At 37.6% G+C, this 16,818-nt stretch overlaps 1 long non-coding RNA gene across 1 annotated transcript in view; it reads right to left on the bottom strand.

Moving 5' to 3' along the window:
* Nucleotides 1–16,818, bottom strand: part of H2AZ1-DT (H2AZ1 divergent transcript) — an 87,212-nt gene that overhangs the window by 12,339 nt on the left and 58,055 nt on the right. Inside the window, exon 2 of the long non-coding RNA NR_125923.1 lies at nt 40–85. This is a non-coding gene — a long non-coding RNA (H2AZ1 divergent transcript). The remainder of the gene's footprint in view (nt 1–39; nt 86–16,818) is intronic.

The raw sequence follows: 16,818 nt of genomic DNA, 5'->3' as shown, positions 1-16,818 counted from the left end.
CTCTGAAGCTTTGCTTTTGGGCAGATGTCATCATCTTACCTAAACCAATGCATTGCCTTCTCTTCATCCTTCACTACACCAGCTCCTAGGTAAACAAAAGATATTATATTTTTAAAAACGGACTCAATTAACTGCTTAATGCTAAAACCTATAAGCCTACAGATATATTAGGTTGGTGCAAAGTTAATTGTGGTTTTTGCCATTACTTTTAGAACTCTAACCAGCAAATCTCTCCCCACCTCTTTTCCCCCAGTGGAATAGCACCAGAGAAACAAAGTTACCTTACTTTTCACGTATCTTTGCCTAACAATATGCTGAGCACTGGGGTACCCAAAATGAGCATAAAAATGTGCCACATGGAAATGAAAGCTCTGGGAATACAGCCACATGTAAAGGAGAGAGATCATGGCTCCCACTGTGGCCAGGAGCTACAAAAAAGAAAAATGAGACAGGAGGAAAAGCATGGGAATCTACTACTTCAGCTATGGTTCAGATATGAAAGAAATGAGTATATTCTATGAGAAAAGCATTCCAGGATGAATTTCACATGATTTAAAGAGGAAGTGTATCCTTCAATGGCCTCTGTTGGGCAAAAAATCTTTATTGTCACTAGTCTTTTATTTTAAGACAGTCTTATATGTACTTTTCCTAGGTGATACAAGATAACTGGATTGCATAATTAAATGAATTGGATGCTGATCAATAGGATCTTGACAGTTTGTAAAAGAAAAACAACTGATGCAGAAGCAAAAGCGGAAGTGAAAAAAAGAATGTATGTGTTTGTTGTTTAGGCAGGGACATGGTGAGGGGCTGAGATTTGGAGCAGAGAAAAATTCCTGTCCTGCTCTGTTGCAGTCTGGAGAAGCCACAATCCTGGCCCATTTTCCCAATATCTCCAGCTGCTTCTATAGAAATGACAGACCCTCAGACTGCACTTCCTCAGACTGCTTCGTTCCTAAAGAGGTCTTGGCAAGCCAGTGGGTCCACAGAAGATGAAGGAAGATGAGATCTCACAGCCCAAACCATAGCCTGAGCTGACAATATGAGGATAATTCCTAAAAGAACCAGGGCCTTAGCAGGAGCTTTGTCATCACCCTTCTTAGCAGTTTGAGCATGCTGTCTACTTCTCTTCAGGAAGCCCTCTTTTCCCATCATGAGAAGCTTGTAGCTCAATGGATTGATGCCCAGAACAAGTTGACATTGTCCAACCTAATCAGCATGGGCATTAGCATTTCCAGAGACTTGGCAGATACCCTCTGAGATGTCAATTCATACAGCTGTCCATGGCTGACAGGGAAATAAATTCTGTGGGGCAACTATGAAATACAGCAAGACTGCAAACTGCACTAGCACCATGGAAAGCTCAGTAGCCTTAACCCATCATCTGGGCATGCTTGGCTGGCTTCTAAGGAGGAGCTCATAATCTGGAAAAAATACAGTGGGGTTGACCATTTTCCCTTTCAGGTGCAATGTATTTCTAAGAGAAGAAAGGAATGCTGCATCTACCCCAAAAACCCAGGTCTCTTGTGCTGTCATGAAGGGTACAGATCTATCATTGACTCCAAGACCAAGAACTGAACTTGAAAATTGGTGATTATTGGTGGTTATACATAACCACATATGACAAAATCTGTATGACAGTCTTTGTGTTTATGTGTATATATATTAAATACTAATAATATTCTTTGTATATTGCTGAATTTTTGTTTGCTTTTTGGTGTATGTTTGGTAGGACTGTTCTAATTTTTTTCTTCCTATACAGTAATCTCTGGATTCTGTTTCATGAATACACTACAGCCTTTTACAGTAATTCTGTATGTTACAGGGTTTCATAGCAGATGGATGTCTGTTTTTGAGATTCCTCAAATCTTTTCTGAAATGATTGCATTTATTCAGTATTTGTTTTGAATGTGTTTAACACTGTTCTGATCACTGTAGATAAAATAGTCAGTGAAACAAGCAAGATGTCCTGCTCTATTATAGCTTATATTGTAATGAGGATAGAGAAATGAGGAAACAGACAATGAGTAAAACACATGAGATATTGGATACAATAAATGCCATAGAAAAGTATAAAGACTCAAAAGACATTAGGGAATATCTGTCTTTCTCTCCCTCACACACACAGCCCTTACTCTGGGGGAAGCAAGCTACCATGTTGTAAACAGTCGTATGGATTGGGCCACATGACAAAGAACTGATGTCTCCAGCCAACAATCAGCAGGGGACCGGAGCCTGACAACAGCAATGTGAGCTTGAAATCAGAACCTCCCTCAGTCAGGCCTTTCAACAATTCAGCCCCAGCTGATAAATTGATTGCAGCCATACAAGAGAGCCTGGGCCCAGATGCCTGACCCACAGAAACCATGAGATAATAAATGTATGTTTTGACGCAACTAAGTTTTGAGTACTTTGTTACATAGCAACAGATAATGAATACAGGGCCTGTTGGCCATTTAAAGCACTTTGGCTTTTACCCAGAGTAAAACGGAAAGCCACTGAAGGGTTTTAAGAGAGAAGTGATGTGATCTGGCATTTTTTAACCGAATTATTCTGGCCTCTGTGAAAATAGAGTGAAGGGAGGCAAGGGCAGAAACTGAAATAACAGTTAGGGAACTATCGTGAAAATGCAAGCAATACTGAAGATATGATGGGAGCATGATCCATGGTGGGAATAGAGACAATAGCAAAGTAATCCAATTCTGAAAACGCTGATATTAGATCTAAGAGCATCTTCTGTTTGGATGTGGGTGTGATAGAGATAGGAGAGTGTATACCTTTACTTTCTTCATTTTCAATTTGTTTTGAAATTCTAATTTATTCTTTCAATTGGTGAATATTCATTAAAAGTCTACTATGCTGCTATGTCCCCTTCAAAGTTCAGGTTGAAGCTTAATCCTCAATGCAACAGTATTAAGAGATGTGGACTTTGGGAAGTGATTAAGTCATGAGGGTCCTGCCCTTCTAAATGGCATTAGAACCATTATTAAAAAGGGCTCTAGGTTGAAGAAAGCCTTGCCTTTCCACCTTCTGCCACATGACGACATGGCAACAAGGTGCCATCTTGGAAGCAGGGAGCAGGTCTTAACATGCACCAGTGCCAGTACCTTGATCTTGGACTTTTTAGCCTCCAGAACTGTCGGAAATAAATTTCTGTTGTTTGTAAATTGCTCAGTCTGTGGTATTTTGTTATAGCAAACAGATTAAGACATGTGCCTGTTATATAGTCTGTTTGCTTTTAAGACAGTCCAATCTTTAGTTTCAAAGATTTTTTTTTCTAACTTTAGTGGGAAGCCATTGGCACACTTTTAGCAGAGAAGAGACATATGATTTATGTTTTAGAAAATCTCTCTAGCTTTATATAGGGAATTGGCCATATGGGAGCAAGTGAAGAAGCAGGGAAACCAATTAGAAGACTACTGCAGTTGGGCGCAGTGGCACATGTTTGTAATTCCAGCTATTCTGGAGTCTAAGGAGGAAAGATGATGTGAACTCAGAAGTTCAAGTCCAGTCTGGGCAACACAGCAAGACCCTATGTCTTGGAAGGAAGGAAGAAAGAAAGGAAGAAATGGAGGAAACAAAAAAGAAAAAAAAGGAGGAAAGAAAGAAGGAAGAGGGAAGAAAGGAAAGAGGTGAAGATATTAAAAACTATATTTCTTAATATCTGAGAAGGAATTTGCACCATGTAAAGGAAGCAGACTAAAATGAATCTTGGCTGGGCACAGTGGCTCATGCCTGTAATCCCAGCATTTTGGGAGGCTGAGGCGGGAAGATCACTTGAGGCCAGGAATTTGAGACCAGCCTGGGCAACACAGTGACACCCGATCTACATAAAATAAAAAACATTAGCTGCGCATGGTGGCACATGGCTGTAGTCCCAGCTACTGGGGAGCTGAGGCAGAAGGATCGCTTGAGCCCAGGAGTTCGAGACTGCAGTGAGTCATGATCGCACCATTGCACTCCAGCCTGGGCAGCAGAGTAAGACTCTGTCTCTAAAAATAAAACACATAATAAATAAAAAGAACCCCAAGGTATACGATTAGAATTAAAAGTATCAGCATCAAGTCAGGTATGAAAACACACACACACACACACACACACACATACACATGTACATAAATAAAAATAGTTACAATCATATGCTCGTATACATACACATGTACATGCGTATATACATACAACATTTTCTAGCTCTTTCTACTGAAAATTCCCAATGCAATGACACCTCGGTAATGATGAACATGAGCACCCAGATCATTGTTTCATTCTTTTAATAAATGGTATCCTTCATTAAAAGAAATCAAGGGTTGGCTGGGCATGGTGGCTCACGCCAGTAATCCCAGCACTTTGGGAGGCCAAAGCAGGTGGATCACTTCAGGTCAAGAGTTTGAGACCAGCCTAGCCAACATGGTGAAACCCTGTCTCTACTAAAAATACAAAAAGTACCTGGGCGTGGTGGCACATGCCTGTAACCCCAGCTACTCGGGAGGCTGAGGCAGGAGAATCACTTGAACCCAAGAGGCAGAAGTTGCAGTGAATGGAGATCGTGCCACTGCACTCTAGCCTGGGTGACAGAGCAAGACTCCATCTCAAAAAATAAATAAATAAATAAACCAAGGGTTCTTTAAGAAATGGCTAACTCCAGGTGACCCAGGTCATTGTTTCATTCCTTTAATGAATATTATCCTTTATTAAAAGAAATCAAGGGTCCTTTAAGAAATGGCTAATGCCAGGGCTGGAATATGGAATGAAAAAATGTACCTGGTGCATTTTGTTATCTCTAAAAAACATATACAATGAGTGATGGAGATATGTCAAAAGGATACAGAAGCCAGTTTAACAGGGATAAAACTGGTCAAATCTGGGATAATATCCACATCACAATAAATAATAATATTATCAAATGAAAACTCAGTAACTAAAACTGGAATCCATGAATCCACACTAATATAAATAATAAAGAAATGTGAGAAGAGAAATGTACTGTTATAGTAGAGTATCAACTAATAATTGTAGAAAGAAGCAAATAAGCAGCCATTTGGCAACCCTCATTATGATGGTTGGCTCAGGTGGAAATTGTCAATGAATGCAATTGCTGGTGTGGGAAACTCGATGAGAAACGGGATATTAGTGTAAAATCTTAGAAGTCTTGCCTTCAAATGTTAATTGGTCTTAAAGAAAAATTGAGCCTTTGGAAATCTAGTAAACACTAACATAAACAGGCACCCAAGATCAAGCAGTGGAACAGATCAACATTGTGTGGTGCCTCCGGATATGAGGCACTAGGAAGAGCACAGCATCACTTCTGTGATATTCCTGCCACAAATGCATGACTTGTGTCTGGTCATGAGGAAACATCAGACAGACCTGTGTTTAGGGTTGTCCCATAGAATAAAAGGAATCCATTCTTTAAAACCCAGGGACTTGAGAGAGAGTGAAATAACAAAATGTTCCAAATTGAAGGAATCTAAAGAGGCATGACCACTAAATGCAATGCAATTTCCTGTATAGGATACTGGACCAAAAAGAGGAGAAAACATTGTTGGGACAGTTGGCAAAATATGATCAAAGTTTGTGGATTCAATGGTAGTGTTCTATCAACTTTGATTTTCTTATTGGCAGCCAAGTATATTGATACTATTACAGCAGAGTGTCCCAGTTTAGGGCATGTATATACTGAAGTATTTAGGGAGTAGAGGGACATCAGATTGGGGGAGAGAGAGAGAAGCAATAAATATATATACACATAGTAAAATATTAAGCAATCATCCAAACAAAAACGATTGCTTTGTTCAAGCCGGGCAAGGTGGCTCACATCTATAATCCCAGCGCTATGGGAAGCTAAGCTAGGAATATTGCTGGAGGCCAGAAGTTTGAGAACAACCTTAGCAACAAAGTAAGACCCCATCTCTATAAACTATTAAAAATTTGGCTGGGCACAATGGCACCAATTACTTGAGAGGATGAGAGAGGAGGATAGCTCGAGCTCAGGAGGTCAAGGTTGCAGTGACCCATGATCACTCCGTCTCACTTCAGCCTGGGTGACAGAGCAAGACCCTGTCTGAAAATAAAAAAATAATTTTGTTCTATTCCGGCAACATTTCTATAGGTTTGAAACTAGTTTAATTTTTTAATTTAAAAAGCAAATTGCAGTTCCTTAAATACATATGTATATACTTATATATATATATTATTGGTTTATAAAATCCATCTGCTAATTTTTTCTGTTCCTAAAGTTATAATTCATCTTGGCCATATATATATGTATGGCCAATATGTATGTATATATATTGTGTGTGTATATATATATATAAAGAATCTATAAAGAACAACTATAAAGAACAGCTAGGCAATATTTCATAATCAGCATATCTAAATGGCAATACTGATAAAGAAATAAACATTGAATAGTTTTGTCACTGTCATCTATAATTTTATACCATCAGCTCAAAGTGGTGGGTCTGAGCCTTTCTCCAAAATAAAGTTATGGCCATTTTTTATTATTTTTTCTAATTTTAAAAAGCCTAAAAAAAAGTGGAAATAAGATATTTTTTAAAGCCTCTATTTTCTTCTTATAAACAATAAATATTATTTTTTATATTTTCCCATCGTTTGACCCTTTGGTGTTTTTACACATGATCTTTTATCTAGGTTCATTGGCCGATGTCTTGTGAAAATATCAATCTTTTGAGAAATTGCTTTATCTTCTTTCTCATTTTGATTGTTTACTTCTTAAAATAACTTACATAGCTTGTGGTATAGGAGGTAGATACTAAACAAACAATAAAATATGCAAGTAAAATTACAACTGAAATAAGTGCTACGATCAAACCATAGGGAGGTGCATTTCTTCATATCTTTGTATCAAAGAGCAAGGGTTAGCTTTTGGTAAGGTGAGGCTGAAGAGGGAGATAGAGGACAAATTGTGAAAAGACTTGACCAAACGCCATGCTAAAGATTTTGGTCTTCATATTTAGAGCAAATAGGAAGTCTCTGGAAGGTTAATATATGAAGGATAGGGAGGAAAGAGAAACATAATCATTTTGAGTTTCAAAAATATTCTGACCACAGTATAGAGTTGCAGTCTCCAATATGGAGTATACAAGATGTTCCACTGGACAGCAAGGACAAAGTGTTCAAACTTGTACAAACACATATTAAAAACTTAAGCTTCATTAATATTTATCCTAGGGATTCACTTAGTCAGTATGACAGGTGTCATGACTCATTTAGGGTAGCTGAGGTAATGTAAGGAAAGGATGAGCGTTCCACAGTGTTGACTTTCACATATTGACTGTGCCTCTGTTTATGTATGCCAGGTTAAGTAGCTTTATGAATATAGTGCTAGTTTAACTGAAATAATCTTCATAAAATAGACATAATCTTTAAAAGACTGCTGTAAAAAAAAAACCCATGTGATGAAGTAATATTAACATTGTAAGGCGTGGCAATTAAGAAACTTCCCTGGGTTTCTGACTTGCATGACTCCAGTCACTGGAATAAGAGAACTAGGTTTATGTGTATTACATTAAAGACAGTGCAGGGGCCCATGACTTTCGTTTGGATCATATGGGGCTCAGAGAAAAACTGTAAAGCAGACTGTTGGGTGTGAGTGTCTGGAATTTACAAATGTCTATACTAAACATTGAGTTGTCTAAGTACAGGTGGTAATTTAGGATGCATAGGCTTTAATGAAATCTTAACTTTAAATATCAAAATTTCAATTTTTGAGAGCTTCAAATCTCTCTTGATCTGTCTTTTTCTATTGTCTATAATTAGAATTCTATATTTACTCTGATGCTTTTAAAGTTTTTCTAAAGTTAAGGGCAAATGTTTTCAATCTTAGAATTTTTTTTAACTTTTTAAAAATAAGTAAATGTATTAATGCCATTTTACATGGGTGCTTGTTTAAAAGAGGCATTTGAAATCAGCTGTTTCACTTTTTAAAGTATGAAATTTTCAAACATACAGAAAATGAATTAGATAGATATGTACCCACCAGCCACATTTAACAGGTTTATATTTTGCCATATTTGCTTCAGATTTTTTCTTAAAGAAATAAAGCATTACAGAAATAGAAACATATCTACCCTCATCTCTGCCCTCCTCTCTTCCCAGGTGTAACCACTAAACCTGTATTAGAGGTTTGACATTCTAATGCATGTTTTTAAGGAAGAATGGGCTTAAGTTTAGCTATATCAATAGGGATAAATCTTTAAAATAAATGATACAGTTAAAAAATGAAGTTGAATGATACTTTAGTAGTTCACATGGTTAAATAAGAATACTAGTTAACCACAATAGCATTACCAAGGCTAACCAAAACATCACATTTCTTCATTCTTGGTTGGAATTTTTCAACCAGTATTGTATATGTATGTATCAACAATGAACAGAAGCCAGAGATTATTTTTAAAATTGTAGTTTGCTTGGTAGAAGTCTATTAAAACATAAAATTCTTTAACAGTAAAATTTGTACAGGATGCTAAGTGGGTAGGTGTGGTGGCTCACACCTGTAATTCCAGCACTTTGAGAGGCTGAGGCAGCAGGATCACTTGAGCCCAGAAGCTGGAGACTAGTCTGGGCAACATAGCAAGATCCTGTCTCTACAAAAAATATAAAAATTATCTAGTAATGGTGCATGCCTGTAGTCCTAGCTACTCAGGAGGCTGAGGTAGGAGGATCACTTGAGCCTAGAAGGTTGAGGCTGCAGTGAGCCATTATCGTGCCACTGCACTCCACCCTAGGTGACAAGAGCGAGACTCTGTATTAAAAAAAAAAAAAAAAACACCATATGTGATCCTAAGTGAAGTGAGGAAAACACTGGGACAATTTCTGGTTTAGAACATATGCCTGGCTACACAATATTTGAGTCCCTGACTATGGTTAGTTAAATCTGTAAACTTGAGGACATAATTTGTGCTAAACTCTGTGGTTACAAAGATAAACATATGACCTAAACCTTGCTTTCAAGCATTTCAAAGTTGCAGAGCAGAGATATAAACAAATCGTGAAACAGCATCATAAGCATTTTAGTAAAAATGCGGAATGTATAAAGTTCCAAGGGAGAGGGGGCAGTATCTACCTAATTCTGCGTTGTGGATTTCTTTCAGGTTTTGCCATCAATATAACCAACATTTTTGGTCTACAGAACAGTTAACACATAATATTGCAATGCTCTTTTTCAACTGGTTTTTGAGGCACAGAGAAAAGCTCTGTCTTGAACATAGAGCACTGCTGTCCTTCTAAGTAGAGCTTCGGGCCGGGTGCAGTGGCTCACACCTGTAATCCCAGCACTTCGGGAGGCCGCGGCAGGTGGATCACTAAGGTCAGGAGTTTGAGACCAGCCTAACCAACATGGTGAAACCCCATCTCTACTAAAAATAAAAGAATTAGCCAGGCATGGTGGTAAGCGCCTGTAATCCCAGCTACTTGGGAGGCTGAGGCAGGAGAATGACTTGAACTCAGGAGGCAGAGGTTGCAGTAAGCCGAGATCATACTACTGCACTCCAACCTGGGCAACAAGAGCAAAACTCCATCTCAAAAGAAGAAAAAAAAACAAAGCAGAGCTTTGACATAAGTAACTCCAGTTCTGTGTCATAAATCATCAAGTAGATGAGCACTCAGGTTTTGTGTATGGGAAGCAAATAATTTTTATATAAAAATGAAACAAATTATGAATGACCACTAAGGTATCTTATTCTTTATGTCTAAGATATATTTTATTTTACTTAATTATCCATCAATTTTATTCTCAATTATTAGTCTCAAATTACAAACTTTGATATACACAGTTAATTATATTTCAAACTAAATGTCTAAAAACCTTAGTTCTCAATCACACAAGCCCCTATGTGGGTATATCAGGGCACCAGAGAGTCTGGTGAACATTTTAACTGAGTTCCAAACATTACAATTACACTAGCAAAGTGCTTACCCCTTGTCTCCTCTGAATCCCAGTGCCTTGACCTATATCCCATTCCTAAAGGCCTCATTCTAAATTCACTCTTATTGTCACCTAAGAAGCAGTAGGCCAAATGAAAGAGAAGGATAGAGGAGATGGGGAAGGAGGGTTGGCTAAGGGAGGAAAGGAAGGAAGAAAGAAGAGAAGAAGAAAAGGAAAAGGATTTGAGCTAGAATGCCTACTCTGTCCTTATTTTTTTTAATTAAAAACATTTTGATATGTAATATTTGTACATATTTATAGGACCCATGTGATTCTAAAAAAATTTTTAAGGGTACAAGTGATATTTTGAAACATGCGTACAATGTGTATTGTTATTTAATCTCTGGGGGTCAGTTTTCTCATCTGTAAAATGGGGGTAAAAATACTTTCCCATTCAGGTTTGTAAAGAGTGAATAGACTACAAATAAATTATTTAGTTGAGCACCTCACCACATTGTAGGCCTTTCAAAATAACTATTATTTATTGAGATTTTTATCTTTATGCAGCCCAGAAGCATTAGTAGGCAAAAAAAAAAAAAATCAGGGAAGTCTTTGGATGAAAGAAATTCATACGTAATGATGGAATTGTTAATACGTGTGTCATACAGCAAATGGACGTGAATTCCTCTGCTTCTACCATTTACTGGTTTTATGACTTTGGGCAGGTTGCTTAACCTCTGAGCTTCCTCTACCTCATTCCTTAAATGGGGATTATAATGTTAACAAGTTTATAGTATAAGATTTGAAAATTAAATGAGATAATGTGCACAAAGCACTCAGCACAGTGCCTGCACACAGTGAGGGCTCACATTAACTGCGCCACTTTGCAGTCTGGACTCACCACTCTGCACCTGAGAAACTCCAGAAATCTGTTCAACACCCGAGTTTGCTTTTCACAACTTTTGTAATCTTTTTTTTTTTAGACAGAGTCCCGCTCTGTCACCCAGGCTGGAGTGCAGTAGTACAATCTCGACTCACTGCAACCTCTGCCTCCCGGGTTCGAGCAATTCTCCTGCCTCAGCCTCCCAAGTTGCTGGGACTACAGGTATGTGCCATCATGTCCAGCTAATTGTTTTTTGTATTTGTAGTAGAGACAGGGTTTCACCATGTTAGCCAGGATGGTCTTGATCTCCTGACCTCATGATCCGCCTGCCTCAGCCTCCCAAAGTGCTAGGATTACAGGCTAAGCCACCACACCCAGCCAACTTTTGTAATCTTGAACAAATTGCTGTGTTCCTGGGCCTCCGTTTTCTTATCTAAACACTTTTAGAAAAAAGTGGAAAAGTGAGATAGATGAACCATAAAGCCATTACAGGGATTAAGTAAGAAAATATATGCAAAATCACACATATCATAAAGCCTTATATGAATGTATGGTAGCATTTGATCATGCCAAGTATTCATTTCTTTAACCCTCTCTTCTCTTGACATATGTGGGATATTCTTCTCTTTCTAGCCTCTAAATCTCCATGTTCCCTTAGGTTTCTTCATCAAACTTTCTCTGACCTTGTTGAGTTGACACACTTTCCTCCTGTGCTCTCAATTCACATGGCTCCAGACAGTACCATATGTGAGTGACACCCAAGAATCTATTTCCAGGGCTTCTGTCCCTTCTGAGCTTCTGATTCAAATCCCCACTTGCACATCCCACATAAAATTAAACTTTTCCAAAATTAAATTCACTATCTTCTGCCTTAGAACTCACTTTCACTTCCTCTAATTCAATGAAATTCAAGTCCTATCTAATTAAACTCCTAGTGTCTCAAAATTCACTTTTCTCCTTCTTGTCACAGACCTAATTCAGACCACTACCATCTCACCTGAATTATTCATTGGTGTTTTAGTTCGTCTCCAAGACTGTCCTGAGCCCTCCAACCCATTCTATAGACCACAGACAGTGTGAATGAATTGTCCCCAAGCCAGGGTTAGATGAGCTTCCTTTTCTTCAGTAACAACATGTGTACTCACCCCCATTGCAGTAACAATGATACTCCCCTGCCCATCTATCCCCATACACATACATTCACATTTTATAATTTCCACAAAGAAAAAGACATTTTGTTTATTTTCATTTATTTTTGTGTACCTACTACCCAGCTAACTGCTTCATACACTGTAGTTCTTTTAATGTTTGAATGAATAAACGGAATAAGTTTGAGTGGAGCAGAATTTGAACTCAATTTAATGAATTTACTGATTATCTCTAGTTTGTCCTAGCTTCAATTCATCAGGAAAAAACAGTGTAGGGCACTCAAATATTTATTGAGGAATATAAAAACATAAGATACATTGATAAATGACAAAACTGAAATAGCTGAAAAAACACTAAAAATAACCAGAGATAACAATTTTGAATTTGCCTTTGCACTGCCACAATGGTTTTTACTGATCAAGTTTACAATTAGGTTCACAAGCCACGTGAGAGAGAGAGAACAGGACAACAAAAAGGTCAAAGAGAATTATGGCATTTTTTTCCAGGATATCTGACTTCCAAATAATGGGAGTCTCATAAAGAAATCAGAAAAAATAAAGAAGAGGAAGAAGGTATTCAACAAATGATTCAAGAAAATTTTCCAGAACTAAAAAACATGAGTTTCCAAACTGAAAGGTGACACCATGATACAAGGTGTCCAGCACAATGGGAAGAAAAACAGTCCTATAAATGCATATGACTGAGAAACTTCAGAACATCACAAATAGAAAAGAAGATGCTAAAAGCTTCTGGAGAGGTGGAAAGGAGAAAGCAGGTCACATACCAACAAGCATGAATCTGAAGGCACTAGATGTCTCAGTACCAAAACTAGTACCTGCAACATAGTAGAAGAATCCCTTCAAATTTTAAGAATGAAGTATTGCAAACCTAGAATTCTACACCCTGTCTAACTATAAATTACGTGCGATGGTAGAATCAGGACGTTTTCAGATGGGCAAGGTCTCAAAGTTCACCTCTCAGGCAGTCTCTCAGGAAGCTACTGGAAAATATGCCCCACCAGAAACAAGAGAGTAAATCAATAAAGAGGAAGTCTCGGGATCCAGGAATAAGGATCTCAGACAGAAGGAAGGTGAAGGAAATATCCCAGATGATGTGACAGGATATCCCAGGAAGACAGCTGAGGGGCAGATGGGGAAGACAAGCAGCCCAGATAGGAGCAGCAGGGTGGAAAGTGTATCTTCAAGACAACAGGGAAACTGAGATTTCCTGAAGTGTTAGACTATATTAAGAGGAACTCAACACTTTGTGAAGCAACACAGGATGACTCTGGTAGCCATGAGCACACAGAAAACAAAGCAAAAATTTTTTTAAAAGATACAATTTAAAGTACCCAGAAAACAAAGTGTAGAAGAAATAATTACAATCCTGATATACTACATGCATCAGCTATGAATGATATCTAATTGGTCATAATGAAAACTGAACATTGGTTTAGCCAAATAAAGCTGTAGCTATACTGAGAAGAGAAGGAGAAGGTAACTGTGATTGAGGTGGTAGGAGGGCAGGGGTTAGAAATAAGAAATTAACCAACAGTATAATAAAAATTTGAAAAAATAGCATTAAATGAGTGTTCTTAGACTTATAGCAGTAGACACCAGGAAAAAGAGCTGAGGGAATTAAAAATGGTTTTCTCTGAGGAGCAATAATCAGGGGAAGGAACAGAAGAATGCTGTTTTTAAATTATTAGCCCTGTGAAATATTTGACTTTTTAAGCTATGTATGTGCATAGCTTTGAAAATAAAAATTCAGCTTAAATAGTAGAAAAATTGATTGCTTTATATTCAGAAATTCAAATATAATTTATAAATAATGACAAATAACATCTTAGATGGTTGACCTAGGAAAACAAGTATTGAACATGTTTAGATCTATGTGATTTCCTGCTGGCACATACTGAAGGTAATAATTCATAGCTAGTAATACTATTAGCATACTTTCTGAGATGTGACATTTCCACCTTCAATTCTATCATTGTATACTATAACTATTTGTTCTGCCAAAATTAAAAGGAGCTTTCAGCTGCAGAGTCCTATATGGCACCCAGTAATCCACCTCTTGGTTTGATACCTGGAAAAATTTCGATGTAAGCAGGGAATGAAAATAATGTTTTCATCGTTCATTGCCATCATGGTATGTTTGTCACAATTGTTTCAATTTACTCCCACACTTATAGCAATGAGAACTAACACAGAACTAGCATTTAGTTAACTGCTGTAAATGCCAAAACAAAACAAAATTTTGACACTGTAAGAGCCATAAATATTTTCATGAGGTCGTTCTGCTGTACTGTAAATAGTTGCAAATTATAGATGTTTTGGAGAGATCATCAGTTTTAAAGCTCTTAGAACTCAAAAGATCTACTGCTGTTATTAATAATTGATATTTCATATGACTATTTAAATAGCCGTATAAATTTATCAGCATTGCACAGGAGGGAGATGTGTGACTTCTCCCTTTTTTTTAATCAGTGTGTTTTTAGGTGACTAGTGATAATTCACCCAAAGCAGATAGGAAACCTTGGATATAATAAAAAAAACCGAGGAGCAATCTGTTTCCTTTCACAATCCAGGGCTACCCATATTATTCAACCTATAAAAGGAAATCACACTCATTTTACATTTTTATTTCCATGCAGCTGTAATTACCAGGCAATGAACTAATGAAATAGGGCCTATAAAGAAAGGACAGCTTCCAAGAAATCAGCTATTTATCTTGTTGCTAGAGAAAAGAACTCTCTTCTAAGGAGGAATCCTGAACCATTAGTGATATAACCAGTAAGTTCTCAGTTTTCTGGACTGATAAATGGAAGTTGTTTTCAGATCTGAACCAAAGACCAGAATTCCATTGCATTGTTTTTAAGTCAGCGGAAATCTAAACCTCTTAAGTTTCAACTGAGGGACTAAAGGGAGATTAAAATCTTTCTTGTTGTATCTCTGAAAAAATATTCAAGATATTGCTAATTGTGGTTGCCTCTAGGAGGAGGATTGGGTGGATGAAGGTTAGGATAGAGGGATTTCTGATTACTGCATAACCATTCAATTTTGTACCACATGCATATATTACTATAACATTTTTTTACAAGTGCTATATGTGGCCAGGCATGGTGGTTCACGCCTATAATCTCAGTATTTTGGGAGGCTAAGGCAGAAGGATCTCTTGAGCCCAGAGGTTTGAGACCAGCCTAAGCAATATAGCAAGACCTCATCTCTGCAAAAACTAGAGAAAATTAGCTGGGTGTAGTGGCATGCACGTACAGTCCCAGCTACTTGGGAGGCTGAGGAGGGAGGATTGCTTGAGCCCAGGAAGTCGAGGATGCAGTGGACCATGATCGTGTCACTGTACTCCAACCTGGGCAACAGAGTGAGAGCTTGTCTCAAAAAAAAAAAAAAGCTATATATGCAGATTTATCTATAGTCTTATAATCTTCATATATTTAAACTCTCACTCAGACATCAGTGCTGTCTGTTAGCACAACAATTACAGTAGTTTAGTAGTTTCTGTTTAAGAATATTCAGTAGAAACTCAGGTTCTACATTTATACATTCCCTGGCTTTTTATTGTTGTTGTTTTTATGAGCTTCTCTCTAACTTCGTGAGTGTGAGTGTGTGTGTGTATGGGTGTGTGTACACAGCTGGGAGCTGAATTTTTATGCTCCTTAAAAATCCTTCTAGTTTTATTTCTTTGAGAGATATCAAGGAATGGCAATGCCTATTAGCCATCAAGTAAGAGAAAAGGAATGCAGAGAGCATAGTAGTGTACTTAAATGGAGCTGTGGAGAATAATATAAATCAAAACTGTCATTCTTGAAGAGCCTAAAGTTGTACTTCTAGCTGCCACAGATATCTAAAATAAGAATTAATCTGCACATTTTTATCTACTGATAAATACATTGTTTTTATTTGGCCACCACAAAATTGCTAGCATTCCCTCTTTTCACCATTTCTGTAACTCCTATCACTTTTATTTACCTGTATTTAAATAATCCACTCTTTAATACCTTAGGGTAAGAGTATGTTAAAATATGAGTGAGCTGGTTGAGAACTCTACTAACATTATAACATGATTTTTATTCCTTTCATGCAGCATTTCAATTTTTAAAAAGCTTTATATTTTCAATATCAAACTTAAGCTAATTTTTAAAAAGAAACGTTAACTGAAATTGATAATAGTCCTTCAATTTTTCAGCCAAATTTATAAAAATCAGACTGTGTTTATGTGATTTCTAGCAACTGGCTAAAAAATTGGAAAATGTAAAACTAGCTATCTGGTGTCAAGTAATTATTTTTGCTGAATTTTGATGAATTATTTACCTCTTGGGTTAATGTGTATTTTAAAATCTATTAACTGGTTAATTCAGGAAGTCCAAATTTGTGTGTACATATAAAATTTTGAGAGTTGTTTTGTAAAAGCAGAGATTCTCAATATTACCTGTGCTGGTCTCAAACTCCTGGCCTCAAGCAATCCTCCCAGCTCGGCCTCCCAAACCTACTGGGGTTACAGGGGTTAAGAGTTTTGTGGGGTTTTTTAAATGTATGATAACTTTGAATAAATTTATCTTCAATACATTTTCCGGGAAAGCTAAAGTGCTTCATCTACAAACACTTAAATCTAGAGCAGGGGTCCCAACCACTGGGCCACAGACTGGTACCAGTCTATGGCCTGCTAGGAACCCTGCCGCACAGCAGGAAGTGATCAGCAGGGCTACAGAGCTTTACTGCCCAAGCTCCACCCGCTGTCAGATGAGCAGCAGCATTAGATTCTCATAGGAGTGCGAATTCTATTGTGAACTGTGCATGCGAGGGGTCTAGGTTCACACTCCTTATGAGAATCTAATGCCTGATGATCTGATACTGTCTCCCATCACCCCCAGATGGGACCC

Source organism: Homo sapiens, chromosome 4, assembly GCF_000001405.40.
Source record: "Homo sapiens chromosome 4, GRCh38.p14 Primary Assembly".
NCBI classification, from domain to species: Eukaryota; Metazoa; Chordata; class Mammalia; order Primates; family Hominidae; genus Homo; species Homo sapiens.
Note: the sequence above shows the minus strand (reverse complement) of the source record. Positions and strands in the feature narration are given on the sequence as shown.